This window comes from Homo sapiens, chromosome 11 (genome assembly GCF_000001405.40).
Source record: "Homo sapiens chromosome 11, GRCh38.p14 Primary Assembly".
NCBI lineage: Eukaryota > Metazoa > Chordata > Mammalia > Primates > Hominidae > Homo > Homo sapiens.
Genome location: NC_000011.10, coordinates 62,660,944 through 62,684,443, shown reverse-complemented (window position 1 = coordinate 62,684,443; position 23,500 = coordinate 62,660,944). Strand labels below are relative to the sequence as shown.

The 23,500-nt window shown below is 50.4% G+C and overlaps 5 protein-coding genes and 1 non-coding gene across 22 annotated transcripts, besides 10 other annotated features; 3 read left to right on the top strand and 3 right to left on the bottom strand.

Annotated features, from left to right (window-relative positions):
• Window positions 5,283–5,612: an enhancer, noted in NCBI's record as "active region_4839". NCBI's record gives its function as "activates an Ori minimal core promoter by ATAC-STARR-seq in GM12878 lymphoblastoid cells {active_cell/tissue: GM12878}" and the evidence as "EXISTENCE:reporter gene assay evidence [ECO:0000049][PMID:35858748]".
• Window positions 5,371–7,944, top strand: UBXN1 (UBX domain protein 1). 4 transcript variants are annotated; one of them, XM_017017874.2, is made up of 10 exons: window positions 5,371–5,405; window positions 5,492–5,579; window positions 5,701–5,754; window positions 5,843–5,949; window positions 6,036–6,105; window positions 6,326–6,517; window positions 6,612–6,663; window positions 6,810–6,926; window positions 7,439–7,631; window positions 7,805–7,944. In XM_017017874.2, exons 2-10 carry the CDS (start codon window positions 5,521–5,523, stop codon window positions 7,852–7,854), a joined length of 894 nt encoding a protein of 297 aa, XP_016873363.1. In that variant the 5' UTR covers window positions 5,371–5,405; window positions 5,492–5,520; the 3' UTR covers window positions 7,855–7,944. The 4 variants fall into 4 exon arrangements, with proteins under 4 accessions (XP_016873363.1, NP_001273006.1, NP_056937.2 ...); NM_001286077.2 differs by having other exon boundaries at window positions 5,371–5,579; NM_015853.5 differs by having other exon boundaries at window positions 5,371–5,579; window positions 7,439–7,944.
• On the bottom strand, window positions 10,758–12,771 carry UQCC3 (ubiquinol-cytochrome c reductase complex assembly factor 3). The gene is made up of 2 exons (NM_001085372.3): window positions 12,579–12,771; window positions 10,758–12,491 (listed from the first exon to the last, which is right to left on the bottom strand). The coding sequence occupies exons 1-2, from the start codon at window positions 12,696–12,698 to the stop codon at window positions 12,330–12,332; spliced, it is 282 nt and encodes a 93-aa protein (NP_001078841.1). The 5' UTR covers window positions 12,699–12,771; the 3' UTR covers window positions 10,758–12,329.
• Window positions 11,864–12,605: an enhancer, noted in NCBI's record as "H3K27ac-H3K4me1 hESC enhancer chr11:62439311-62440052 (GRCh37/hg19 assembly coordinates)". NCBI's record gives its function as "activates a minimal SCP1, AML or CMV promoter by ChIP-STARR-seq in naive H9 embryonic stem cells {active_cell/tissue: H9 hESC(naive)}" and the evidence as "EXISTENCE:reporter gene assay evidence [ECO:0000049][PMID:30033119]".
• Window positions 11,968–12,097: a silencer, noted in NCBI's record as "silent region_3425". NCBI's record gives its function as "represses an Ori minimal core promoter by ATAC-STARR-seq in GM12878 lymphoblastoid cells {active_cell/tissue: GM12878}" and the evidence as "EXISTENCE:reporter gene assay evidence [ECO:0000049][PMID:35858748]".
• LBHD1 (LBH domain containing 1) lies at window positions 12,177–21,627 on the top strand. Of its 12 annotated transcripts, NM_001394604.1 has the most exons (8): window positions 12,177–12,880; window positions 13,056–13,204; window positions 14,429–14,562; window positions 14,641–14,803; window positions 16,697–16,921; window positions 19,471–19,595; window positions 21,111–21,208; window positions 21,285–21,627. In NM_001394604.1, exons 2-8 carry the CDS (start codon window positions 13,114–13,116, stop codon window positions 21,313–21,315), a joined length of 867 nt encoding a protein of 288 aa, NP_001381533.1. In that variant the 5' UTR covers window positions 12,177–12,880; window positions 13,056–13,113; the 3' UTR covers window positions 21,316–21,627. The 12 variants fall into 12 exon arrangements, with proteins under 12 accessions (NP_001381533.1, NP_001381525.1, NP_077004.2 ...); NM_001394596.1 differs by lacking the exon at window positions 13,056–13,204; NM_024099.5 differs by lacking the exon at window positions 13,056–13,204 and having other exon boundaries at window positions 14,403–14,562.
• Window positions 12,338–12,497: an enhancer, noted in NCBI's record as "active region_4838". NCBI's record gives its function as "activates an Ori minimal core promoter by ATAC-STARR-seq in GM12878 lymphoblastoid cells {active_cell/tissue: GM12878}" and the evidence as "EXISTENCE:reporter gene assay evidence [ECO:0000049][PMID:35858748]".
• Window positions 12,606–13,345: an enhancer, noted in NCBI's record as "H3K27ac-H3K4me1 hESC enhancer chr11:62438571-62439310 (GRCh37/hg19 assembly coordinates)". NCBI's record gives its function as "activates a minimal SCP1, AML or CMV promoter by ChIP-STARR-seq in naive and primed H9 embryonic stem cells {active_cell/tissue: H9 hESC(naive and primed)}" and the evidence as "EXISTENCE:reporter gene assay evidence [ECO:0000049][PMID:30033119]".
• Window positions 13,346–14,087: an enhancer, noted in NCBI's record as "H3K27ac-H3K4me1 hESC enhancer chr11:62437829-62438570 (GRCh37/hg19 assembly coordinates)". NCBI's record gives its function as "activates a minimal SCP1, AML or CMV promoter by ChIP-STARR-seq in primed H9 embryonic stem cells {active_cell/tissue: H9 hESC(primed)}" and the evidence as "EXISTENCE:reporter gene assay evidence [ECO:0000049][PMID:30033119]".
• Window positions 16,336–19,132, bottom strand: CSKMT (citrate synthase lysine methyltransferase). Of its 2 annotated transcripts, NM_001043229.2 has the most exons (3): window positions 19,112–19,132; window positions 18,498–18,797; window positions 16,336–18,048 (listed from the first exon to the last, which is right to left on the bottom strand). In NM_001043229.2, exons 2-3 carry the CDS (start codon window positions 18,562–18,564, stop codon window positions 17,393–17,395), a joined length of 723 nt encoding a protein of 240 aa, NP_001036694.1. In that variant the 5' UTR covers window positions 18,565–18,797; window positions 19,112–19,132; the 3' UTR covers window positions 16,336–17,392. The 2 variants fall into 2 exon arrangements, with proteins under 2 accessions (NP_001036694.1, XP_005274289.1); XM_005274232.6 differs by having other exon boundaries at window positions 18,498–19,132.
• Window positions 17,785–17,884: an enhancer, noted in NCBI's record as "active region_4837". NCBI's record gives its function as "activates an Ori minimal core promoter by ATAC-STARR-seq in GM12878 lymphoblastoid cells {active_cell/tissue: GM12878}" and the evidence as "EXISTENCE:reporter gene assay evidence [ECO:0000049][PMID:35858748]".
• Window positions 17,905–17,954: an enhancer, noted in NCBI's record as "active region_4836". NCBI's record gives its function as "activates an Ori minimal core promoter by ATAC-STARR-seq in GM12878 lymphoblastoid cells {active_cell/tissue: GM12878}" and the evidence as "EXISTENCE:reporter gene assay evidence [ECO:0000049][PMID:35858748]".
• Window positions 18,005–18,114: an enhancer, noted in NCBI's record as "active region_4835". NCBI's record gives its function as "activates an Ori minimal core promoter by ATAC-STARR-seq in GM12878 lymphoblastoid cells {active_cell/tissue: GM12878}" and the evidence as "EXISTENCE:reporter gene assay evidence [ECO:0000049][PMID:35858748]".
• Window positions 18,785–19,014: an enhancer, noted in NCBI's record as "active region_4834". NCBI's record gives its function as "activates an Ori minimal core promoter by ATAC-STARR-seq in GM12878 lymphoblastoid cells {active_cell/tissue: GM12878}" and the evidence as "EXISTENCE:reporter gene assay evidence [ECO:0000049][PMID:35858748]".
• On the bottom strand, window positions 18,874–19,022 carry SNORA57 (small nucleolar RNA, H/ACA box 57). The gene has a single exon (NR_004390.1). It is a non-coding gene; the product is annotated as a small nucleolar RNA, H/ACA box 57 (small nucleolar RNA).
• C11orf98 (chromosome 11 open reading frame 98) lies at window positions 19,228–21,627 on the top strand. Of its 2 annotated transcripts, NM_001286086.2 has the most exons (4): window positions 19,234–19,313; window positions 19,471–19,595; window positions 21,111–21,208; window positions 21,285–21,627. In NM_001286086.2, the coding sequence occupies exons 1-4, from the start codon at window positions 19,275–19,277 to the stop codon at window positions 21,392–21,394; spliced, it is 372 nt and encodes a 123-aa protein (NP_001273015.1). In that variant the 5' UTR covers window positions 19,234–19,274; the 3' UTR covers window positions 21,395–21,627. The 2 variants fall into 2 exon arrangements, 1 of the variants encoding a protein (NP_001273015.1); NR_104414.1 differs by having other exon boundaries at window positions 19,228–19,595.
• Window positions 21,628–23,500: the final 1,873 nt, after the last annotated feature.

Sequence of the window (23,500 nt, the reverse complement as noted above, 5' to 3'; positions counted from 1 at the left end):
GCAGTGGCTCATGTCTGTAATCCCAGCGCTTTGGGAGGCCGAGGCGGCTGGATCACGAGGTCAGGAGACCGAGACCACGGTGAAACCCCGTCTCTACTAAAAATACAAAAAAAATTAGCCGGGTGAGGTGGTGGGCACCTGTAGTCCCAGCTACTCGGGAGGCTGAAGCAGGAGAATGGCATGAACCCGGGAGTCGGAGCTTGCAGTGAGTGGAGATCATGCCACTGCACTCCAACCTGGGCGACAGAGTGAGACTCCATCTCAAAAAAAAAGAAAAAGAAAAAGAAAAAAGAAAAGAAGAAAAGAACTCAGAAGGTGGAAGTTTCAGTGAGCCCAGATCACGCCATTGCAGTCCAGCCTGGGCAACAAGTGTGAAACTGCGTCTCAAAAAAAAAAAAAAAAAAAAAAGAAGGCCAGGCATGGTGGCTCATGCCTAAAACCCAGCACTTTGGGAGGCTGAAGCAGCTGGATCACCTGAGGTCAGGAGTTTGAGACCAGCCTGACCAACAAGATGAAACCCCATCTCTACTAAAATACAAAAATTAGCTGGGTGTGGTGGCAGGCACCTGTAGTCCCAGCTACTTGGGAGGCTGACAAAGGAGAGTTGCTTGAACCCAAGAGGTGGAGGTTGCAGTGAGCTGACACCACGCCACTGCACTCCAGCCTGGGCTACGGAGTGAGACTCCATCTCAAAAAAAAAATTTATTCTATTATAGAACCTCTACAATAAATTTAGAATACTATGTTATCCCCGCTGGGCTTAATGGCTCAACCTGTAATCCCAGGACTTTGGGAGGCCAAGGTGGGCAGATCACTTGAGGTCACGTGTTCAAGACCAGCCTGGCCAACATGATGAAACCTCATTTCTACTAAAAATACAAAAAATAGCTGGGTGTGGTGGCGGGCGCCTGTAGTCCCAGCTACTCGGGAGGCTGAGGCAGGAGAATCGCTTGAACCAGGGAGGCAGAGGTTGCAGTGAGTTGAGATCGTGCCACTGCACTCCAGCTTGGGTAATGAGTGAGATTCCATCTCTAAAAACAAAAAAAGAATACATATGTTATCCTGAATACACTTGTTATAATACTGCAGTGAATACCCTGTGCCTTTTTTCCTTTTTTTTTTTTTTTTTTTTGAGACGGAGTCCCTGTCTCCCAGGCCGGAGTACAGTGGCGTGATCTCCACTCACTGCAAGCTCCGCCTCCTGGGCTCACACCATTCTCCTGCCTCAGCCTCCTGAGTATCTGGGACTACAGGCGCCTGCCACCACGCCCAATTTTTTTGTATTTTTAGTAGAGACAGGGTTTCACTGTGTTAGCCAGGATGGTCTAGATCTCCTGACCTCGTGATCCGCCCGCCTCAGCCTCCCAAAGTGCTGGGATTATAGGCATGAGCCACCGTGCCCGGCCTTCCTTAGCATTCATTTATTTACAAATAACGAGAGGTCATACTATCTCATTATTATTACTATTTATTTATTTCATTTTTTGAGACGGAGACTCTGTCTCAAAAAATAAATAAATAAAATAAAAAAATAAAGCCCATGCTTGTCACTCTACCGTGGAGAGGCAACATAGCATAGTGGTTTAGAGAACACACACTGCCTTGGGTTGAATCCTAGTTTTGTTATTTACTTTGTGACTTTAGGTAAATTATCTCATCTTGGCTGGGCATGGTGGCTCACACCTGTAATTCCAGCACTCACGCCTGTAATTCCAGCACTCACGCCTGTAATTACAGCACTCACGCCTGTAATTCCAGCACTGGGCATGGTGGCTCACGCCTGTAATTCCAGCACAAGGCAGGGGATGGCTTGAGCTCACAAGTTCGAGACCAGCCTGGGCAACATAGCGGAAACCTACCTCTACTATAATAAAAATACAAAAGTTAGCCAGGTGTGGTACATGCTACTTGGGAGGCTGAGGTGAAAGGATGGCTTGAGCCTGGGAGAAGGAGGTTGCAGTGAGCCAAGATTGTGCCACTGCTCTCCAGCCTGGGCAATAAAGCCAGACCTTGTCTCAGAAAAAAACCCATCTTTCCTTTTTTTTTTTTTTTTTTTTTTTTGAGACGGCCTCTTACTCTGTCACCAGGCTGGAGTGCAATGGCACAATCTTGGCTCACTGCAACCTCCGCCTCCCAGGTTCAAGTGATTCTCCTGCCTCAGCCTCTCAAGTATCTGGGATTACAGGTGTGTGCCACCACGCCTGGCTAATTTTTTGTATTTTTAGTAGAGAAGGGGTTTCACCGTGTTAGCCAGGATGGTCTCGAACTCCTGACCTCATGATCTGCCCGCCTCAGCCTCCCAAAGTGCTAGGATTACAGGCGTGAGCCACCGTGCCTGGCCAAAAAAAAAACATCTTTCTGAGTCTGTTTTTTGTTTTTTTATTTTTTTTTCTTGAGACAGAGTTTCACTCTTGTTGCCCAGGCTGGAGTGTAATGGCACGATCTCGGGTCACTGTAATCTCCGCCTCCTCGGTTCAAGCAATTCTCCTGCCTCAGCCTCCTGAGTAGCTGAGATTACAGGAGCCTGCAACTATGCCCGGCTAATTTTTATGTTTTTTTAAGCAGAGATAGGGTTTCACCATGTTGGCCAGGCTGGACTCGAACTCCTGACCTCAGGTAATCCACCCGCCTTGGCCTCCCAAAGTGCTAGGATTATAGGTGTGAGCCACCATGCCTGGCCTTGAGTCTGTTTTTTTGTGACTAAAAATAGCTTCTACATCATAGGGATTGTTGTGATGATTAAATATGGATTAATCATACAAAATTCTCTAGCAGGCCGGGCACGGTGGCTCACGCCTGTAATCCCAGCACTTTGGGAGGCCGAGGCAGGTGGATCACCTGAGGTAACAAGTTCGAGATTAGCTTGGCCAACATGATGAAACCCCTTCTCTACTAAAAAATACAAAAATTAGCCCGATGTGGTGGCGGGTGCTTGTAATCCCAGCTACTCGGGAGGCTGAGGCATGAGAACAGCTTGAGCTTGGGAGGCAAAGGTTGCAGTGAGCCAAGATCCCACCACTGCACTCTAGCCTGGCAACAAAGTGAGACCCTGTCTCTCTCACACACACACACACACACACACACACACACACACACACACACACAAGTCTCTAGTGCATATATTATCAATATCAGTAACTGTTATTGTCATTATTACTCTACCTTCTAATAAACATTTAAAGTGAGCTTCACTTTCAGGAATCTAACAGCCCGGGTAGTGGTGGAGCACAAAGTAATCAACAGTGACTCACAGCAGTGGGGATAAATGCTTAATGGGTTAAATACTGTAGCTGGAAGGCAGACAGCAGTGGTCAAAGCAGGCTTTTCTTAGAAGGCAAATCCTGAATCCTGAAAAACTCCTGGGAGTTAGTTTACTAAGTGAAGAGACAGGACATCCTAGGCGGAGACTGGTTGGTGCACAGGCCAAGAGGAGGGTGAAGTCTGGTTTGCAATATGCACAGCTTACCCTCAAGTGGTGGGTGATGAAACTGCACAATAACTACCAGCATTTACATACTCTGCCTTGCCAGGCACCAAAGTAGGTGCTATTGTGATCTCCACTTGAGAGGGGGTTCTAACCCCCCTCCCCGCAAAAAAAGCCAAGGTGGGCGCAGAAGGAAGTCAGACCACTAGCATTTAAGTTGTCCCAGATGGCCGAGTATGTAGCTCACGCCTTTAATCTTAGCACTTTGGGAGGGCGAGGCAGGTGGATCACTTGAGCTCAGGGGTTGGAGACCAGCCTGGCCAATATGGCGAAACCCCGTCTCTACAAAAAATAGAAAAATTAGGCCGGGCGCGGTGGCTCACACCTGTAATCCCAGCACTCTGGGAGGCCAAGGTGGGTGGATCATGAGGTCAGGAGTTCAAGACCAGCCTGGTGAAGATGGTGAAACCCCGTCACTACTAAAACTACAAAAATTAGCCAGGCGCGGTGGCAGCCACCTATAATCCCAGCTACTCGGGCAGGAGAATCGCTTAAACCCGGGGCAGGCAGAGGTTGCAGTGAGCTGAGATTGTGCCACTGCACTCCAGCCTGGGTTACAGAGTGAGATTTTGTCTAAAAAAAAAAAAAAAAAAAAAAAAAAAAGGAGAGAGAGAGAGAAAAGAAAAAGAAAAATTAGCCGGGTGTGGTGGCATGTGCCTGTAGTCCCAGCTACTTGGGAGGCTGAAGTGGGAGGATCGCTTGAGCCCAGGAGGCTGAGGTTGCAGTATGTCAAGATTGCACCACTGCACTCCAGCCTGGGCGACAGAGCCAGATCCTGTCTCAAAAACAAAAATAGCTGGGTGTGGTGGCTCACGCCTGTAATCCCAGCACTTTGGGAGGCCGAGGTGGGTGAATCACCTAAGGTCAGGAGTTCGAGAACAGCCTGACCAATATGGAGAAACCTCATCTCTACTAAAAATACAAAAATGGCTAGGCTCGTTGGCTCACGCTTGTAATCCCAGCACTTTGGGAGGCCGAGGCAGGTGGATCATATGAGGTCAGGAGTTCAAGACCAGCCTGACCAACATGATGAAACCCTGTCTCTACTAAATATACAAAAATTAGCCGGGCATGGTGGCGTGGGACTGTAATCCCAGCTACTCAGGAGGCTGTGGCAGGAGAATCGCATGCACCCAGGAGGCGGAGGTTGCAGTGAGCCGAGACCGCGCCACTGCACTCCAGCCTGGGCGACAGAGCGAGACTCCCTCTTAAAAAAAAAAAAAAAAAAAAAAAAAGCTGGGCATGGTGGTGGGCGCCTGTTATCTCAGCTATCCGGGAGGCTGAGGCAGGAGAAATGCTTGACCCGGGAAGCGGAGGCTGCAGTGAGCAGAGATCGCGCCACTGCACTATTGCACTCCAGTCTGGGCAACAAGAGTGAAACTCCATCTCAAAAATAAAAAATAAAAAAAAAAGTAAGTTGTCCTAGATGGTGGAAGTGTCACGGATTTTTAAGCAGGGAGGTGAAGACAGGACTACATGATTGTGTTTTGCAAAAATCCCTTTGGCAGTCAGGCAGAGGATGGCTCAATTCCCTAAGGAGAATGAGTGGGCCAAAGAGCAAGACATTTCTTCTGCTCCTGGCAAACATTGCCAAAGAACTTCCCAAAGCATTGCGCTAAGGGACCATATTCCTTCTAATTTCTAAGGAGGGTGAGGCAGGATGAAGTTCCGGGAACTGGCTTCATTCCGCCCACGGGTTTCAGAGCCGCACCAGCTTTCTTCCCCACAGCAGCCTGGCGCCTTGGCTTGGTGGGTTGCCTCCCTGTTCCCACCCACGGAAAGTCCTGGCAGCAGGGCCAGAAGTTTTATGGTTCTCAGCGGCACCCGTCGACATCCGCCCCCACGTGACCCAAACAGATCCGGCACTTCCGCTTCCCCTCGGCTTTCTTCTCGTCGGTGTTCCCGGCTGCTATAGAGCCGGGTGAGAGAGCGAGCGCCCGTCGGCGGGTGTCGAGGGCGGGTTGCCTCGCGCTGACCCTTCCCGCCCTCCTTCTCGTCACACACCAGGTCCCCGCGGAAGCCGCGGTGTCGGCGCCATGGCGGAGCTGACGGCTCTTGAGAGTCTCATCGAGATGGGCTTCCCCAGGGGACGCGCGTAAGGGAGTTCCCCAACCCCGGCCTGCGGGTGTGGGGGGTCGCGGACCTGTCTCGGCCTTTGCCCCAGCCTGACCGTCACCATGGCTCGTGGGCGCTATTCATGGTGTTTCTGCCCCCAGGGAGAAGGCTCTGGCCCTCACAGGGAACCAGGGCATCGAGGCTGCGATGGACTGGTAAGCGCTCGTCCCGGGTGGCGGAGAATTGGGGGCTGGCGGGAGGGGCAGCCTCAAAGCTAACCTCCCCGCCCACTTTCCCTGCCAGGCTGATGGAGCACGAAGACGACCCCGATGTGGACGAGCCTTTAGAGACTCCCCTTGGACATATCCTGGGACGGGAGCCCACTTCCTCAGAGCAAGGCGGCCTTGAAGGTCCTGACTGAGGGTCCACGGTGTGATTATTCAGGAGGGTCCGAGGAGAATCTGAAGGGATAATAATACCGATTGTTTGTTTGTAGGATCTGGTTCTGCTGCCGGAGAAGGCAAACCCGCTTTGAGTGAAGAGGAAAGACAGGAACAAACTAAGAGGTACAGTAACAACAATCTCACGTGTCTGAGGGTCGTCTTCCATCTCTCCCCAGTACACGTCTGGTCAAAGAACCTTGACCTTTCCACATTTCCTCTTTCTTGGCATTTTCTTTTCCTTTAATCTACTTTGGGATATATGTCGCCTAATTTTGTTTATTGTAAACTTTACACCTTCCCACTCTGTCCATTTCTCTTGAACTGTTTTCCCTCGGCAACACAGGATGTTGGAGCTGGTGGCCCAGAAGCAGCGGGAGCGTGAAGAAAGAGAGGAACGGGAGGCATTGGAACGGGAACGGCAGCGCAGGAGACAAGGGCAAGAGTTGTCAGCAGCACGACAGCGGCTACAGGAAGATGAGATGCGCCGGGCTGCTGAGGAGAGGCGGAGGGAAAAGGCCGAGGAGTTAGCAGCCAGGTCTGGGCAGGGGAAATGATGGATAGCAGATGAGAAAGAAATCAAGATTTGCTTTGTTGATGTCTGACCTAATTTCTTCTTGTCTACATTTCAGACAAAGAGTTAGAGAAAAGATCGAGAGGGACAAAGCAGAGAGAGCCAAGAAGGTAGGTGACTGAGAAGACGCCACGGGTAATGGAGTGGGCAGGTTAGTAAATCTTTTCCAGCTTCAGAGGGAAAGCATGGGCTTATATGATCTGTTTCACCTGAGGATGGGTGAGTACCTGATTGACTGTTTTACTTTGCCCTTTAGTATGGTGGCAGTGTGGGCTCTCAGCCACCCCCAGTGGCACCAGAGCCAGGTCCTGTTCCCTCTTCTCCCAGCCAGGAGCCTCCCACCAAGCGGGAGTATGACCAGTGTCGCATACAGGTACTGATTCTAATTCTTATCTTCCTCTTGGGACCCCTTTGTTCCGTGTTAAGGTGCCCAGCTCAGAGCTTTTTTCAGTTAACGTGCCCTTTGCCAAATCTCTCCCTTCTTTGTAAATGACTTTTGAAATCCTATCTCTACTCTTGGGAAAGGTATCAAATTTCACCTGCCCCAGTTGTATTTAAACCCATACCTCTCTCTTACTCAGCAGTTACCCTTTTACTTGTTCATGTTTTTATTTGGTTTATTATGTAGCTATCTGGTGATGTGGTATTTATCCAGATTCTTTTGTATAATCTTATCCTTGTCTTTCTTAGGTTGTGAGGGAGCTGGGAGTCTCTCATCCGCACTTAGTAAAGCGGAGCCTAAGTGGCTGTTCATTTGGTGCTTTAAATAGTAGTTGTGCTGGTTCAATCTAAGAAGAAGGGGGCCCAGCTTTAGCTCTTTTCCTTACTTGGGCACCTCATTCAGTTTTGATGCCCACAATACTGAGTATCTCCCTTGCCCTTTAGGTCAGGCTGCCAGATGGGACCTCACTGACCCAGACGTTCCGGGCCCGGGAACAGCTGGCAGCTGTGAGGCTCTATGTGGAGCTCCACCGTGGGGAGGAACTAGGTGGGGGCCAGGACCCTGTGCAATTGCTCAGTGGCTTCCCCAGACGGGCCTTCTCAGAAGCTGACATGGAGCGGCCTCTGCAGGAGCTGGGTATGGCTGCAAGACTAGAAACCAGGACTAGAAACTGGGGGAGTAGGGAGGCATGCCTAGGAAAAGGAGGGATGCAAAGAGAAGGGGCTTTGTGAACATGGTGCAAGGCCAGGAATTTTGGGAGCAAAAACCAAGTATCCTTGTGGTTCAAGCCTGTTTTCTTCCATCTTCAGGACTCGTGCCTTCTGCTGTTCTCATTGTGGCCAAGAAATGTCCCAGCTGAGGGCCTTTGTCCCATTGTCCCTCTGTGACCCCTTCATCTTTGATAAAGCACTGACATCTCCTTCCTAATAAATAGACCCTGAGTTCTGTACATGCCTGACTCCTTCCTGAATGGCTGGGAGGGACAAAACTAAGGCAGAGGAAGAGGCTAAAACGGAACAGTAGACCCTCTTCCTCATCTTTAGTTTCCAACAAAGACACTTGTTTGTAATCTCTGGGTCTGATTAACTGCTGGGGAAGTTGCGGAGGAGAGGTGCTAAAAGGGGTGGAGAGTACATTGGATGGCACCTTTTACTCCTATGGTAAGACAGAAAATAAAAGCCCAGCTGCTGCTTTTTTATTTTTATTTTTGAGACGGAGTCTTGCACTGTTGCCTGGGCTAGAGTGCAGTGGCGCAATCTCAGCTCACTGCAACCTCTGCCTCCCAGGTTCAAGCGATTCTCCTGCCTCAGCCTCCCTAGTAGCTGGGATTACAGGCACCCACCACCACGCCCAGCTAATTTTTTCCATTTTTAGTAGAGACGGGGTTTTGCCATGTTGGCTAGGCTGGTCTCAAACTCCTGACCTTGTGATTCGCCTGCCTTGGCCTCCCAAAGTGCTGGGATTACAGGCATGAGCCACCACGCCCGGCCTGCTGCTTTATTTATTTATTTATTTATTTATTTATTGAGAACATGAGAGTGCCTTTTCATTTTAAAAATGTTTGGAAATATGCACAACTTTGATACAGCTTTGGGGTGCTCCAGACACCCATGGCCACTTCATGTAAACCACTGAGAATTTCTTTTTTTTTTTTTTTTTTGAAATGGAGTCTTGCTCTGTCACCCAAGCTGGAGTGCAGTGGCACAGTATTGGCTCACTGCAACCTCCGCCTCCTGAGTTCACGGGATTCTTCTGCCTCAGCCTCCCAAGTATCTGGGATTACAGGCGCGCACCACCATGCCCAGCTAATTTTTTGTATTTTTAGTAGAGTCAGCGTTTCACCATGATGGCCAAGCTGGTTTCAAACTCCTGACCTCAAGTGATCCACCCGCCTCGGCCTCCCAAAGTGCTAGGATTACAGGCGTGAGCCACCACGCCCGGCCACCACTGACAATTTTTAGAGTACTTTGAGAGACTATACAATATCATGATCAAATTTTGTAATTAAACCTAATGAGGACAACAGGCACTTCTCAAATAAGAGATGTGTCCATTACGGGGCTCCCCTACTCTTAAGGTACTCACAAGGAGGCAGATAAACAGTTTCTTTTTTTTTTTCCTTTGAGATGGAGTTTTGCTTTTGTTGCCCAGGCTGGAGTGCAATGGAGCGATCTCAGCTCACTGCAACCTCCACCTCCCGGGTTCAAGCGATTCTCCTGCCTTAGCCTCCTGAGTAGGTGGGGTTACAGGCATGCACCACCACGCCCAGCTAATTTTTTTTTTTTTTTTTTTTTAAGAGACAGGGTTTCACCTTGTTGGTCAGGTTGGTCTTGAACTCCTGACCTCAGATGATCCGCCCGCCTCTGCCTCCCAAAGTGCTGGGATTACAGTCTTGAGCCACTGTGCCTGGCCAGATAAACAGTTTCTTTATTCATCCTCCTCCTCTTCATCTTCCTCTTCCACCTTTTTCCAGGCAACTTTAGCAGGACCCTTTGCATCATCAAACCAACCTTTCTACTTATAGTCAGGAACATCCTTCTTATACTTTTCCTTCAGCTTTGCTACCTTAGTGATGTCATTTAAGTTATTTCACATCTCACCCAGAAAACCTAGCTTCTTAATAGAATAGGAATAGTGCCTATTTCTTGGGATTGTCATGAGGGTTACATAATGCTGGTATAAGATGCTTTAGCATAGTGCCTGGTACCTAATAAGTCCCCAGTAAGCATTAGCTACTAAAAGGATAATTTTATTTACTTATTTGAGGTGGAGTCTTGCTCTAGATCCCAGGCTGTAGTACAGTGGTGCAATCTCGGCTCATTATAACCAACGTCTGCCGGGTTCAAGCAATTCTGCCTCAGCCTCTCGAGTAGCTGGGATTGCAGGTGTGTGCCACCACACCCAGCTAATTCTTTGTATTTTTTAGTAGAGATGGGGTTTCACCATGTTGGCCAGGCTGGTCTTGAACTCCTGACCTCAAGATCCACCTGTCTCAGCCTCCCAAAATGCTGGGCTAAAAGGGTTTTGTTTTTTTGTTTTTTTTTTTTGAGACATCTCCTCACTCTGTTACCCAGGCTGGAGTGCAGTGGCACGATCTCGGCTCACCGTAACCTCTGCCTCCTGAGTTCAAGCGATTCTCCTGCCTCAGCCTCCCGAGTAGCTGGGACCACAGGCACGTGCCGCCATGCCCAGCTAATTTTTGTATTTTTAGTAGATACAGGGTCTCACCATGTTGGCGCTTCTCTCTGCTTTTTAAAACCAACCAAGAAGCACTGATGAGCTTATCTATGATAGTCCCTCTGGCTGCTGATCACCCCACCCTGCTGTCCTGTCAAACTGCTCCTGACTCCACTCCTTCCTGGACTAGGAGAAAGGCCACAGTTACTCTGTAAAGATCACATGTAACATGTGTTCCAGCAGCTGAAAAGAGCACCAATACTTATATCTGGGTTTACACCCCAGTGTTAGAAAGCTTTATTTGGGCCAGGCACGGCGGGTCATGCTTGTAATCCCAGCACTTTGGGAGGTTGAGGCGGGCAGATCACCTGAGGTCAGGAGTTCAAGACCAGCCTGGCCAACATGGTGAAACCCTGTATCTACTAAAAATACAAAGATTATCCTGGCATAGTGGCGCACCCCTGTAGTCCCAGCTACTGGAGAGGCTGAGGCAGGAGAATCGCTTGAACCCAGGAGGCGGAGGTTGCATTGAGTTGAGATCGCTCCATTGCACTCCAGCGTGGGCAACAACACAGAAATTCTGTCTCAAAAAAAAAAAAAAAGCTTTATTTGGTGTTCTGACTTTAATAACAGCAGCCTTTTTTTCAATTGCAGTCTTGCTTGGGAACCACAGGATAGACAAAAGAGGAGCAACTTGGTTGACTAGGCTGTGGGGCTTTGACCCCACTTATTTAATCCCCTCAGTGGCAGCTCCAATAAATCCTGACCAGATCCAGAGATTGGGGACCACTTTACATTTCTAAATTAATGTTTTACAATAATCCTCGTAGTTATGACCTTTCATAGAACAGGGCTGAGGTTTGTAACATGCTGGAGTTCAACCAGGATCTGTGACTCAAAGCACACTCCTTTTACTACTAGTAAGTCAGCCTCCTAAGCTTGTTTAACCAGAGGTTAAATAATGGCCACAGAAAGCATTGTGGCATATGTTAAGTGCTAGATGCCCCTCCAATCTCGCTCCAAGGACAGGAGTCCTGAGTGTCCACTATAGGCATCCATTACTTCAAGACTTCCCAGGATAGTTCAGATTTCAAGAATGTCCCACGGTTATCCCTGGAAGTACACTCCAACCTGACACCACATGACCTGTTTTGAAAATGTGGTTGGCCGGGCGCAGTGGCTCACGCCTCTAATCCCAGCACTTTGGGAGGCTGAGACGGGTGAACTGCCTGAGGTCAGGAGTTCGAGATCAGCCTGGCCACATGGTGAAACCCGCCTCTACTAAAACTACTAATATCAGCCGGGCGTGGTTGCGGACGCCTGTAATCCCAGCTACATGGGAGGCTGAGTAAGGAGAACAGCTTGAACCCAGGAGGCAGAGGTTGCAGTGAGCCAAGATTGCGCCACTGCACTCCTGCCTGGGTGACAAGAGCAAGACTCCATCTCAAAAAAAAGAAAAAATGTGGCCGCGGCAGGGCGAGGTGGTTCACGCCTGTAATCCCAGCCCTTTGGGAGGCCGAGGCGGGCGGATCACCTGGGTCTGGAGTTCGAGACCAGTCTAGCCAACATGGTGAACCCTGTCTCAACTAAAAACACAAAAGTTAGCTGGGCTTGGTGGCGCGCACTTGTGATCCCGGCTACTCGGGAAGCTGAGGCAGGAGAATTGCTGGAACCCAGGGGCGGAGGTTGCAGTGAGCCGAGATCGTGCCACTGCACTCCAGCCTGGGTGACATTGACTCCGTCTCAAAAAAAAAAAAAAAAAAAAAATGTGGTCAGATACCTATCGGGATCAGCCTCTTCTGGTGGGGTGGGACAGGCAGCAGCTCCAGGCCGCGCCCCCAGCACCGACCACGCGTCTCTAAGCATTGGTAGGTGTCGACTGCAGGGCTCATTCTGGGTGGAGGAACATGATTTTATTGGTTCTTTCAGTTCACCACATCCGACTCGCGTCTCGGCCCTGGCCCGCCTTGCGGACCTTAAAGCAGTCAGTCCAGGGTTTGGGGGAAACGTGCTCACCCGACGGCAGCTCACAGGACCCCGGAGAGTCCTGGCATGGTATCTCGGTCCGGACTCTCCGCTGGGCCCACGAAGGAGAAAGGCTGCCTCGGATTCCTGCGCCCAAGCCAAGGTCCGGCGCCCACGGAGGCAAGTCCGGTCTCACGGTGACCTCCCGCCGGCGCCGCCTTCGCCGCCAACCATCCAGTTCTTCCTCCAGGCCACGTTCTCCTGCGTGGTCGCTGCCTCCTGCAGAGTGGCCAGCAATAGCTGCTGGGTCCTGGCCGCCTCCTCCCTGCTCCTTGGGTCCTGCAGTGGCATCTCCTGAGGGCAGGAAGGGGAGTTCGCAGGAGCTCCAGTCCGGGGCTCTCCACCCGCCCACCCTTCCTCGGGACTACCAGTTGCTTCTACCTTTAGCATTTCCTGCTTCCGCCGCTCTCCCGGGGTCACGATAACGAGGAGCGCGTAGCCCACGCCAGCCCCTGCGCCCAGCATTGCGACTGAGATCAGCATTTTCCGCAAGGAATCCATGGCCGCCTGCACAGCCAGCGGAGCGCCCACGGGAGCTCCCCGCAGCCGCAAGCTGTTGCCGCGCGGTCTCACTACCCCTTGGCGCAGGCTAGAGCGCCCTATAGCAGAAACCATAGATAAGCGGCCGGCTAGAGAGGACCTGCTCGAGGAAACGTTTGGAATCCGGAGCGCTTGGATCTCAGGTTTAGCTGAGGGGGTTGAGGTGTCCAAGAAGTGCTGGCACCAAGGGCTGAGCGCGGGGACCCTGTGTCCTCAATTCCGGGGTGGGATTGCTAGGGGGAGAGTGCGTGTCTTCATGGTTGCCGTGGGTTTTATGATTGCCCATTTTTCTGTCTTCCGACGTTTCCCGATCAGTAGAGGCCCGAGCTGTGCTCTGTGGTTTCCTGCAGTCACCCGCGCGTTTTCAACACAGCGCATGGAGGGCATCTACACACATACACATCCCTCTCCATCCCCTCAACTCTGGAACAAACACTCAAAGTCAAGTATACTGGTTGGAGAAATGGGTAATAGTTACTTATCTTTAACATTTATTTTACAAACAACCTATTCCTTTTCTCGTCATGGTACACACTTGGTATTGTTTGGGTTTTTTTTTGGTTTTGTTGTTGTTGTTAGTGTGTGGGCGTGGTTTTGTTTGTTTTTGGAGACAAGGTCTCGCTCTGTCGCCCAGGGCTGGAGTGCAGTGGCGCGATCATGGCTCACTGAAGCCTCGACTTCCAGGGCCCAAGCGATCCTCCTGCCTCAACCTCCCGGATAGCTGGGATTACAGGCGTGCACCACCACGCCCGGCTGGTATTGCTTTTTGTTTTGCTTCGTTTTCTTTTTTGCTTTTTGAGACAGAGTCTCACTCTGTTGCCCAGCTGGAGTGCAGTGGCGTGATCTCGGCTCACTGCAAGCTCTGCCTCCCGGGTTCACGCCATTCTCCTGCCTCAGCCTCCCGAGTAGCTGGGACTACAGGCGCCCGCCACCACGGCCGGCTAATTTTTTGTATTTTTAGTAGAGAAAGAGTTTCACTATGTAGGTCAGGCTGGTCTCGAACTCCTGACCTCGTGATCCGCCCAATCCGCCCACCTCGGCCTCCCAAAGTGCTGGGATTACAGGTGTGAGCCACCGCGCCCGGCTGTTTTGCTTTGTTTTCAACCACTAAAAGGCTGGATTCGTGTAACATACTGAATTCTGCTTTACAGAAGAAAACACCTCTTAGCTGTGTGACTGATTATAGGCAAGTTCTTGTGCCCCGGTTTCTGCATCAGAAAATGAAGCTTATAACAACAGTACTTGTCTCACAGTTTTAGGATAATTAAATTAGTTATATGTAAAGCAATTAAAACAGCTCCTGCCAAAGAGTAAACACCATATAAATATTCATTAAATAACATACAAACATACCAGGTTGGGAAAAATCAGTAAGCATAGGAGTCAGGAAATTCCAAGTTGGTTATCACAACTCTTGGCCCACAGGGCTTTAATCCAGGTGCCCTTGTCTCCTACCCTTGTTGCCATCCCAGTGTCTCCAGGGAGTAAGTAGAAATAAAGATCCTATCTCACCTCTTGGGCATTTTCCCCTCCCCTGAAAGCGTATAATCGCTTAGCACAGTCGGTGCTTAAGGGGCCAGGCTCCAAAGAAGATTAAAGGAACAGTTTGTGGGGTGCACTGGGCAGCAGTACTCTCCTCTGAGTTCAATCATCTTGCACTCTAAGAATCACCACCATGGCCCTTGTGCCAGGGAGAAGCAAGGAGGATGGGCTTTGGACTAGAAATAGCCCAGGCTCCTCCCAGCATCCAGAAAGTCCCAGGCTGCCCAACCCTCTCTGGGACAGAGGAAAAATTGGCAAGGTTGAAGGTCACCAGCACATTCAGGTTAGTACTTCCTCAGCCTGTGTCTGGCAGCTGGCTTACCCTCCAGTTTGGCCCAACCTCCCTGCTGTCCCTATTCAGGATTTCTCTCAAAAGTCCCATCTGCCGTCTATTGTGGTGGAATCCAGTGAGGTGAATGAAGAGAGTGGGGATCTCCATTTGCCCCATGAGGAGCTGCTGCTGCTCACTGATGGTGAGGAAGAGGATGCTGAGGCCTTCTTCCAAGACCAAAGTGAAGAGCCAGGTGAGGGAGGTGGCTCATTCAGGGGGCCACTGTGAGCTGAATGTTCTGGGCAGAGCCAAGATGGAAGTCAGTTACGGCCCCTGCATTCAGCAGTGCCAGGCACACAGCAGGTGCTCAATAAATGTGAAGATGTGGGAGAGAAAAGGCAGCTGGCAAAGTTGATGAATTGTAGAGAGCAGTTTTGGTATCAGAATGGGTGCCATCCTTTAATCTGTACTTTCTTTTTCTTCTTTTTTTTTTTTTTGAGACTGAGTCTCGCTCTGTCACCCAGACTGGAGTGCAGTGGCGCGATCTCAGCTCACTGCAAGCTCCGCCTCCTGGGTTCACGCCATTCTCCTGCCTCAGCCTCCCAAGCCGGCCAGTCTTGGGGTAATTTTATCTTTTCCTGCAGCAATGTAAACATTTTGAAAGTACAGATTAAGGCTGGCCGCGGTGGCTCACGCCTGTAATCCCAGCACTTTGGGAGGCTGAGGCGGGCAGATCACAAGGTCAGGAGATCGAGACCATCCTGGCTAACATGGTGAAACCCCGTCTCTACTAAAAATACAAAAAATTAGCCGGGCGTGGTGGCGGGCGCCTGTAGTCCCAGCTACTCGGGAGGCAGGAGAATGGCGTGAACCCGGGATGTGGAGTTTGCAGTAAGCTGAGATCCCACCACTGCACTCCAGCCTGGGCAAGAGCCAGATTCTGCCTCAAAAAAAACAAAAAACAAAAAAAATTACCCCAAGACCAACTACCTAAAAATAGTTTACATATTCGATACCTTCTCTTCTAGACTTTTTTCATCTCTGTGTACTGTTTTTTTGTTTGTTTGTTTTGGTTTTGGTTTTTTTTTTTGAGACAGAGTCTTGCTCTGTCCCCCAGGCTGGAGTGCAGTGGCAATGACCTCTGCTCACTGCAAGCCCTGCCTCCTGGGTTCGTGCCATTCTCCTGCCTCAGCCTCCCGAGTAGCTGGGACTACAGGCACCCGCCACCACGCCCAGCTAATTTTTTTGTATTTTTAGTAGAGACAGGGTTTCACTTTGTTCGCCAGGATCTCCTTACCTTGTGATCCGCCTGCCTGGGCCTCTCAAAGTGCTGGGATTACAGGCGTGAGCCACCGCGCCCGGCCCCGTCTGTGTACTGTTACAGAAGCTACTTTTTTTTTTTTTTTTTTTTTTGAGACAGAGTCACCCTCTGTTGCCCAGGCGGAGTGCAGTGGCAGGATCTCGGCTTACTGCAACCTCTGCCTCCCAGGTCCAAGCAAGTCTCCTGCCTCAGCCTCCTGAGTAGCTGGGGCTACAGGTTCAGGCCACCACGCCCGACTAATTTTTTTTGTATTTTAGTAGAGATGGGGTTTCACCATATTGCCCAGGCTGGTCTCAAACTCCTGAGCTCAGGCAATCTGCCCGCCTCAGCCTCCCAAGAAGCTACATTCTTTTGAGCATTTACTATGTACCAGGTACTATGCTAAACACTTTTACTTCATGATTTTCAGAACAACCCAATGAAGGTACTTCCCCTTTATAAATGAGAAAATTGAGGCTGCGAGGTTAGGCTCTTAGTGATATAATTGCTCTATTTTTTTATAAGCAAAAAATACCACAGAAATTAATTTTTAGCTCAAGTGCAGCAGCTTATCATGGCCCATTGCAGCTTTGACCTCCCAGGGTTCAAGCAGTCCTCCCAGCTCAGCCTCCTGAGTAGTTGGAACTACATGCCTGTGCCACTATCCCGGGCTCATTTGTTTTTGTAGAGTTAGGGGTGTCACTTTATTGCCAGGGCTCAAGCAATCTGCCCACCTTGGCCTCCCAAAGTGCTGTGATTATAGGTATGAGCCAGCATGCCTGGCCTAGTTTTGTAATTTGATAATATATCAGTAATATTTTTGTCCCCTCTCTTCCTCCATCCCAGGCTGGGCTTGGAGCCCACAGGACCCTAGAAGTCCTTTAAGAACATTTAACGCTGGACTCAGCTGGGGGCAGGACCAGGATGAAGAAGATGCTTGTTGGATTCTTGAGGACACAGCATGTCTGGAAGCCACCAACCACTGTCCCTTCTGGGACTCAACAGGCTCCCGTGTTTGTAGAAGTGGCTTTGTGGAATATTCCCATCTCCTGCCTCCTAATAGCTTTGAGGGTAAGTATTGTTCCCTCCCCCTCAAATATCTCATCCAGGTTTATGAAGCTCCTTATACCCATCCTCTTACAATCTCCTTTTACAGGTGACAAAAATGAGGCTTACAGGTTAGGCCACTAGATTATACAAGTCAGTCAGCGCAGGGGTTTTGATTCAGTTCCTGTCTGCTGCTTTTAGGAGCTCCAGTTAGTTGAAACTGGGGAATGACCCAATTGTACCTTCTCTTTTCAGCATTCATTTTGTGCTAAATATTGCGCACATCATTGTATGTAATCTCCGTAACTCCAAGTTATTCTCACTCTGCAGATGAGTAAACTGGGGAACAGAAACATTCAGCAATATGGCACCCAGCTAGTAAATGTGGAAGCCAGGACTCAAATTCTCACTTTGCAGCCAGATAGCTTGCAAAGACAGTTCTTCAGCCCTCTCCTTGCCCACAGAAATACTAGGGTCAGGACTACTAAAATGTCTTTAATGAGAGCCTTGAATCAAGTAAGCAAAGTAGGTGATGCCCCTGAACGGGCCTAGCTCCTGCACAGTCACAGTCCAGCCATAGGACCCTTGTTCCAGGCAGGGCAGTCGCACATCAGGGTCCTCATCTGAGAACTGAATCAGGGTCCCCTGAGGGTTTAGAACCCTCAAGCATTCTGATAGAAGCTGGTAAGCCCTAGGCAGACCTCCCCGGGCAACAGCATCCCATGTGCCTTTGTCCAGCAGTAGTTGGAAAGAGCCTGAAGAAGCCACAGCCCCCAGGTTCTGAGCATCGGCGTGCATGAAGTGGAGGCTTGAGGCAGGGTGTCCAGGGCATAGAGGTGTTTGGCCTGGGCCACCCTCCAGGAGGCTATTCATGTGGGCCACAGCCACAGGAGAAAAGTCCACCCCCAGCACATCCACTGGGTGTGGAGATTTGGTGTAGAGGCCTGTACATAGGCTGGAAGTCCCACAGCCCACATCCAGCACTCGCAGAGGACTGGCAGCCTGTGCCTCCTGCAGCAATGGCAGTAGGAGCCCCTGGACTTCGTCGTATCCAAAGAACCAGTCGAAGGTGGGGACAGTGCCCAAACGAGGCTGGGCATGCAGCCGATCCCAGAGACAGCGGTCCGCCAGGCAACTATCAGCCAGTGAGCCTGTGGGCACGGTTGGAGGGTGTCACTTGGTCTATGTCGCCACTGCAAAAACGTCGTATATACACACTGGCGTCTTTTTTTTTTTTGAGACAGGGTCTCACTCTGTGACCCAGGGTTGAGTACAGTAGCACAATGATGGCTCACTGAAGCCTCCACCTCAGCCTCCTGAGTAGCTAGGACTATAGGCGCCATCGTGCCCGGTTAATTTTTTTTGTAGACAGGGTCTCGCTATGTTGCCCTAGGTTGGTCTCGAACTCCTGGGCCAAGCGATCTGCCCGCCTCGGCCTGGCAAAGTGTTAGCATTACAGCCGTGAGCCACCACGCACGGCCCACCGTAGGGTTTGAGAATCACAATTTCAGGGACTACACTCCTGACTCACGAGGAACCCACCTTACCCTCCCCACTCTGCCCCCACCTTGCCCTCTCCACTCTGCCCCCACCTCCCTACCCGCAAAGGGGCGGCACGTCCCCATCATCAGGCTCGGCAAGTGGAGCATTCGACGCAGCGCGGCCATCTGGAGATTCGGGTAAGTTCGACCAGAGAAGCTTATGTGAAGCGTCCACCCTACTCCAGCCGGAGAGGCCTGAGGTCCAGGGGAAGATCTGCAAATTCCGCGTAGCGAAAGGCGGCGTACAGCTTCCCCGAACTCTGCAGTCCCGGAAAAAAGAACGCGGACACAGACTATGGTAGGAACGGCCTTTATTGGCTGCAGCGGGAAGTGGAGGAGGGTATACAGCGTCCGCAGACCTGAAATCAAATGAGAAAGTGTGAGCACCCCGATGGAGGAGCCAGCTGGATCTCGGTTGTCCTTCTCCGAGATTCCCGGTGTCCCGGCGTTTGAGGATAGAACCAGCGGATGGGAAGCCGCCAGCACCGAAGACATGACGCCGAGGGGGCCAGAGCCCTTTCCCTCTTCCTCCGTACATTACGGGGAGCGGCACCACAAGCCCGATCCCCGCCAAGAAAAGGAGGGTCCTGAGACCCCGCCCAGAGCCTTCCACCCGGCACCCCCACCACTCCCGGCCGCCCAATCTGGCTACTACAGCTAAAACCACACTTACTAGCTCACCACCCTCCGAAAGGCCTCCCGCACCGCGGAGCTCCTTTATATAGCCCGAGGACCCGCCCCCGAGTTGCGATTGGCCCGCGGAAGGCCGGGGCGGAGCCCCGCGGATCCGGCGCTGAGCGGAAGTACGGACCGTGAACTGGAGTGGAATCGCGACTATGGGAGCTCCGGGGGGAAAGATCAACCGGCCCCGAACGGTGACTGTGTGGGGGCCGCGACTTTGTTTCCTCAAGCGTTCCTGAGCCCTTTTATCTCGCACGAGATGGGATCAGTGAGGGGCCGGGGCTGCCTGGTGGAGGGGCCCCGGGTCGCGGCGAGCCCACTCCATCTGATTCGCATCTTTCTCCCCGGCAGGAGCTGAAGAAGAAGCTGTTCAAACGCCGGCGGGTGTTGAATCGGGAGCGGCGTCTGAGGCACCGGGTGGTCGGGGCTGTGATAGACCAAGGGCTGATCACGCGGCACCACCTCAAGAAGCGGGCGTAAGTACTAGACCCTCTTCCTGTTGGTCGTCCCCACCGAGTCTTCCTTCCTCCCTGCAGAGCTCCGGAGCAGCTTCACCTCTCAGCTCACCTTGTGCACTGACGCTTATGCGGGGAATGTCTGTCGGCTGTTAGTTCCTAAGCTCTGATAGCCTCTCACAATACCTGTAGCAGACAACCTTTCTTTGGGTTTTGGATTCTGTTAAGAATCTCAGGAAAGCCGGGGATGGTGGCTCATACCTGTAATCCCAGCACTTTGGGGGGCTGAGGTGGGCGGATCACCTGAGGTCGGGAGTTCGAGACCAGCCTGACCAACATGGTGAAACCCCGTTTTTGCTAAAAATACAAAAATTAGCCAGGCGTTGTGGCCGGCACCTGTAGTCCCAGCTACACGGGAGGCTGAGGCAGGAGAATTGCTTGAACCTGGGAGGCGGAGGTTGCAGTGAGCCGAGATCACGCCACTGCACTCCAGCCTGGGCCACAGAGTGAGACTCCGTCTCAAAAAAAAAAAAAAAAAAAAAAGAATATCAGGAAATCTGTTGGCTCTCCATTCTCCAAGTAATGTTATACATTCACACAGATTTTTATAAGTAAACTTATTTTTACATACAGAAAAGTGCACACATAGGCGCATAAAACTCGAAGAATTTTCCCAAAGGCACTCATAGGATTTCACTTGTAAGTTTCAAGGCCTCCTGTGTCTTGAGGAAGAGTTCCCATCCCATTAATTACTTTCTGTGTCCTTTTTTTTTTTTTTTTTTTTTTTCCTCTTTTTTGAGACAGAGTCTCCCTCTGTTGCCCAGGCTGGAGTGAAGTGGCATGATCTCGGCTCACTGCAACCCCTGCCTCCTGGGTTTAAGCTATTCTCTTGCCTCAGCCTCCCGAGTAGCTGGGATTACAGGTGCTCCCCACTGCACCCGGCTAATTTTTGTATTTTTAGTAGAGACGGGGTTTCACCATGTTGGCCAGGCTGGTCTTGAACTCCTGACCTCAGGTGATCCGCCCACCTCAGCCTCCCAAAGTGTTGGGATTACAGGCATAAGCCACCGCCCCCGATCTATGTCCTTTCATTAGCTTCTTCAATGTAAATATTTAGGGTTTCTATTACTATTTATATTATATTTATTTAATACTTTTCCTTTTTTTTTTTTTTTTGAGACGGAGTCTCGCTTTGTCGCCCAGGCTGGAGTGCAGTGGCGCGATCTCGGCTCACTGCAAGCTCCGCCTTCTGGGTTCACGCCATTCTCCTGCCGCAGCCTCCCGAGTAGCTGGGACTACAGGCGCCCGCCACTGCGCCCAGCTAATGTTTTGTATTTTTAGTAGAGACAGGGTTTCACCGTGGTCTCGATCTCCTGACCTCGTGATCCAGCCGCCTCGGCCTCCCAAAGTGCTGGGATTACAGGCGTGAGCCACTGCGCCCAGCCTATTTAATACTTTTTCTATAGCCAGAACTATTTGTGTGACCTCAGTTGGTTCAGGTTAACCTAGCTCTCTTTATTTCCACTTACCCATCAGGTCCAGTGCACGTGCCAACATTACACTGTCAGGGAAGAAGCGCAGAAAACTCCTCCAGCAGATCCGGCTTGCCCAGAAAGAGAAGACAGCCATGGAAGGTGAGGCTGGGACAGAGGTGGGTGAGGGGAATCCTGGATTTATTTGGGATAATACTTCCTTCTTCCCTTTACTCAGTGGAAGCCCCTTCAAAGCCAGCCAGGACTAGTGAACCACAGCTCAAAAGGCAAAAGAAGACAAAAGCCCCCCAGGATGTAGAAATGAAGGACCTTGAAGATGAGAGCTAAACCTCTTCCACTAGAAGATTCTCAACTGGAGCCAGCCTTCAGACTCAGTGGTTGTTTCAGAGGACTTTGACAAAAGCAAGGCCCCTTTTCACTCTCCAGATTTCCTCCTACCTAATGGCCTACTGACCTCCCCTAGAGGGATGTCTTTGGGAGGGAAGAAGGTACAGAAGAAAGATTGGAGAAGGGCCTCTCTAGCAGTCAACTCCATTTGTAATAAAGCCCTAGCACTCTGAGATGTGTGTGATTAAATGTAGGAATGGGGATGGGTCATGAAAAGATTGGGGAGTATGGAAACAAGACAGTGAGGAAGCAGTACCCACAGCTTCCTTGTGCAAATGCAACAAGATGCCAGCCTCTGCCCTCAAGAGTGGTGGTGCCTGGCCGGGTGCAGTGGCTCACGCCTCTAATGCCAGCACTTTGGGAGGCCGAGGCAGGTGGATCACCTGAGGTCACAAGTTCGAGACCAGCCTGGCTAACCCCGTTTCTACTAAAAATACAAAAAATTAGCCGGGCGTGGTGGTGCACGCCTGTAATCCCAGCTACTTGGAGGCTGAGGCAGGAGAATCGCTTGAACCCGGGAGGCGGAGATTGCCTACCGGGGTATTGCTTGAGGCCAGGAACTCAAGGCTGTAGTGTGCTGTGATCTCATCTGTCTCCTTAGTGAGTGATACTCTAACTTTCCATTTATGACAAAGATACAGATTATTCGAGAAGTTGAAGTTACAGTGAGCCAAGATTGTCCCACTGCACTCCAGCCTGGGCAACAGAGTGAGCCATTGTCTCGAAAAATATAGATAGATAATTGTAGGGATAGCAGAGGTAAAGGTCCTGATACCAGTTCTGCCACTGCCTCTGTGTGACTAAGGTAGGCAAGACACCTTACCTCTTCTGTCTTACTTCTTTTGCTGCATTATATTTTCATTTTAATTTATATATATATATATTTATTTATTTATTTTATTTTAATTTTTTTTTTTTTGAGACAGAGTCTCACACTGTAGCCCCGGCTGGAGTGCAATGGCATAATCTTGGCTCACTGCACCCTCTGCCTCCCGGGTTCAAGCAATTCTCCTGCCTCAGCCTCCTGAGTAGCTGGGATTACAGGCGCCTGCCACCAGGCCTGGCTTATTTTTTGTATTTTTTAGTAGAGACAGGGTTTCAGTATGTTGGCCAGGCTGATCTTGAACTCCTGACCCTGTGATCTTCCCACGTCGGCCTCCCAAAGTGCTGGGACTACAGGTGTGAGCCACCGTGCCCGGCCACCCCTGACTAATTTTAAAAAATTTTCTGTAGAAATGGAGTTTTACCCAGGCTGGTCTCAAACCCCTGGACTCAAGCGATCCATCCACCTTAACCTCCCAAAGTGCTGGGATTACTGGTGTAATAATAATAAAAAAAAAACTTTCAGTAAAGAGAAGAGATTAGTAAAATGAGCCCTGGTATATGCCCTCTACTTAGATTTACCAGTTATTAACATTGTGCTACACTTCTGTATCTGCATTTTTCTTGTCCTTATTGAATGAAATCCTTTGAAAGTCAAATATAGACAACATGAAACCTTACTCCTAAGGACATCCTTCTATGTAGCCAAAATACTGTAATCACAGCTAAGACATTTAACATTGATTAAATACCTAATATGTATTTTTATTTTATTTTATTTTATTTTATTTTGATACGGAGTCTTGCTCTGTCGCCAGGCTGGAGTGCAGTGGCGCGATCTTGACTCACTGTAACCTCCGCCTCCTATGTTCAAGGGATTTTCCTGCCTCAGCCTCCTGAGTAGTTGGGACTACAGGCGCCTGCCACCACGCCCACCTAATTTTTGTGTTTTTAGTAGAGACAGGGTTTCACCATGTTGGCCAGGATGGTCTCGAACTCTGACCTCAGGTGATCTGCCCACCTCAGCCTCCCAAAGTGCTGGGATTACAGGCGTGAGCCACTGCACCGGCTATTTTTCTGTATTTTTAGTAGAGGCGGAGTTTCACCATATTGGCCAGGCTGGTCTTGAACTCCTGACCTCAAATGATCCACTCACCTCGGCTTCCCAAAGTGTTGGGATTACAGGTGTGAGCCACTGTGCCTGGCCCACCCAATGGTTTAGTA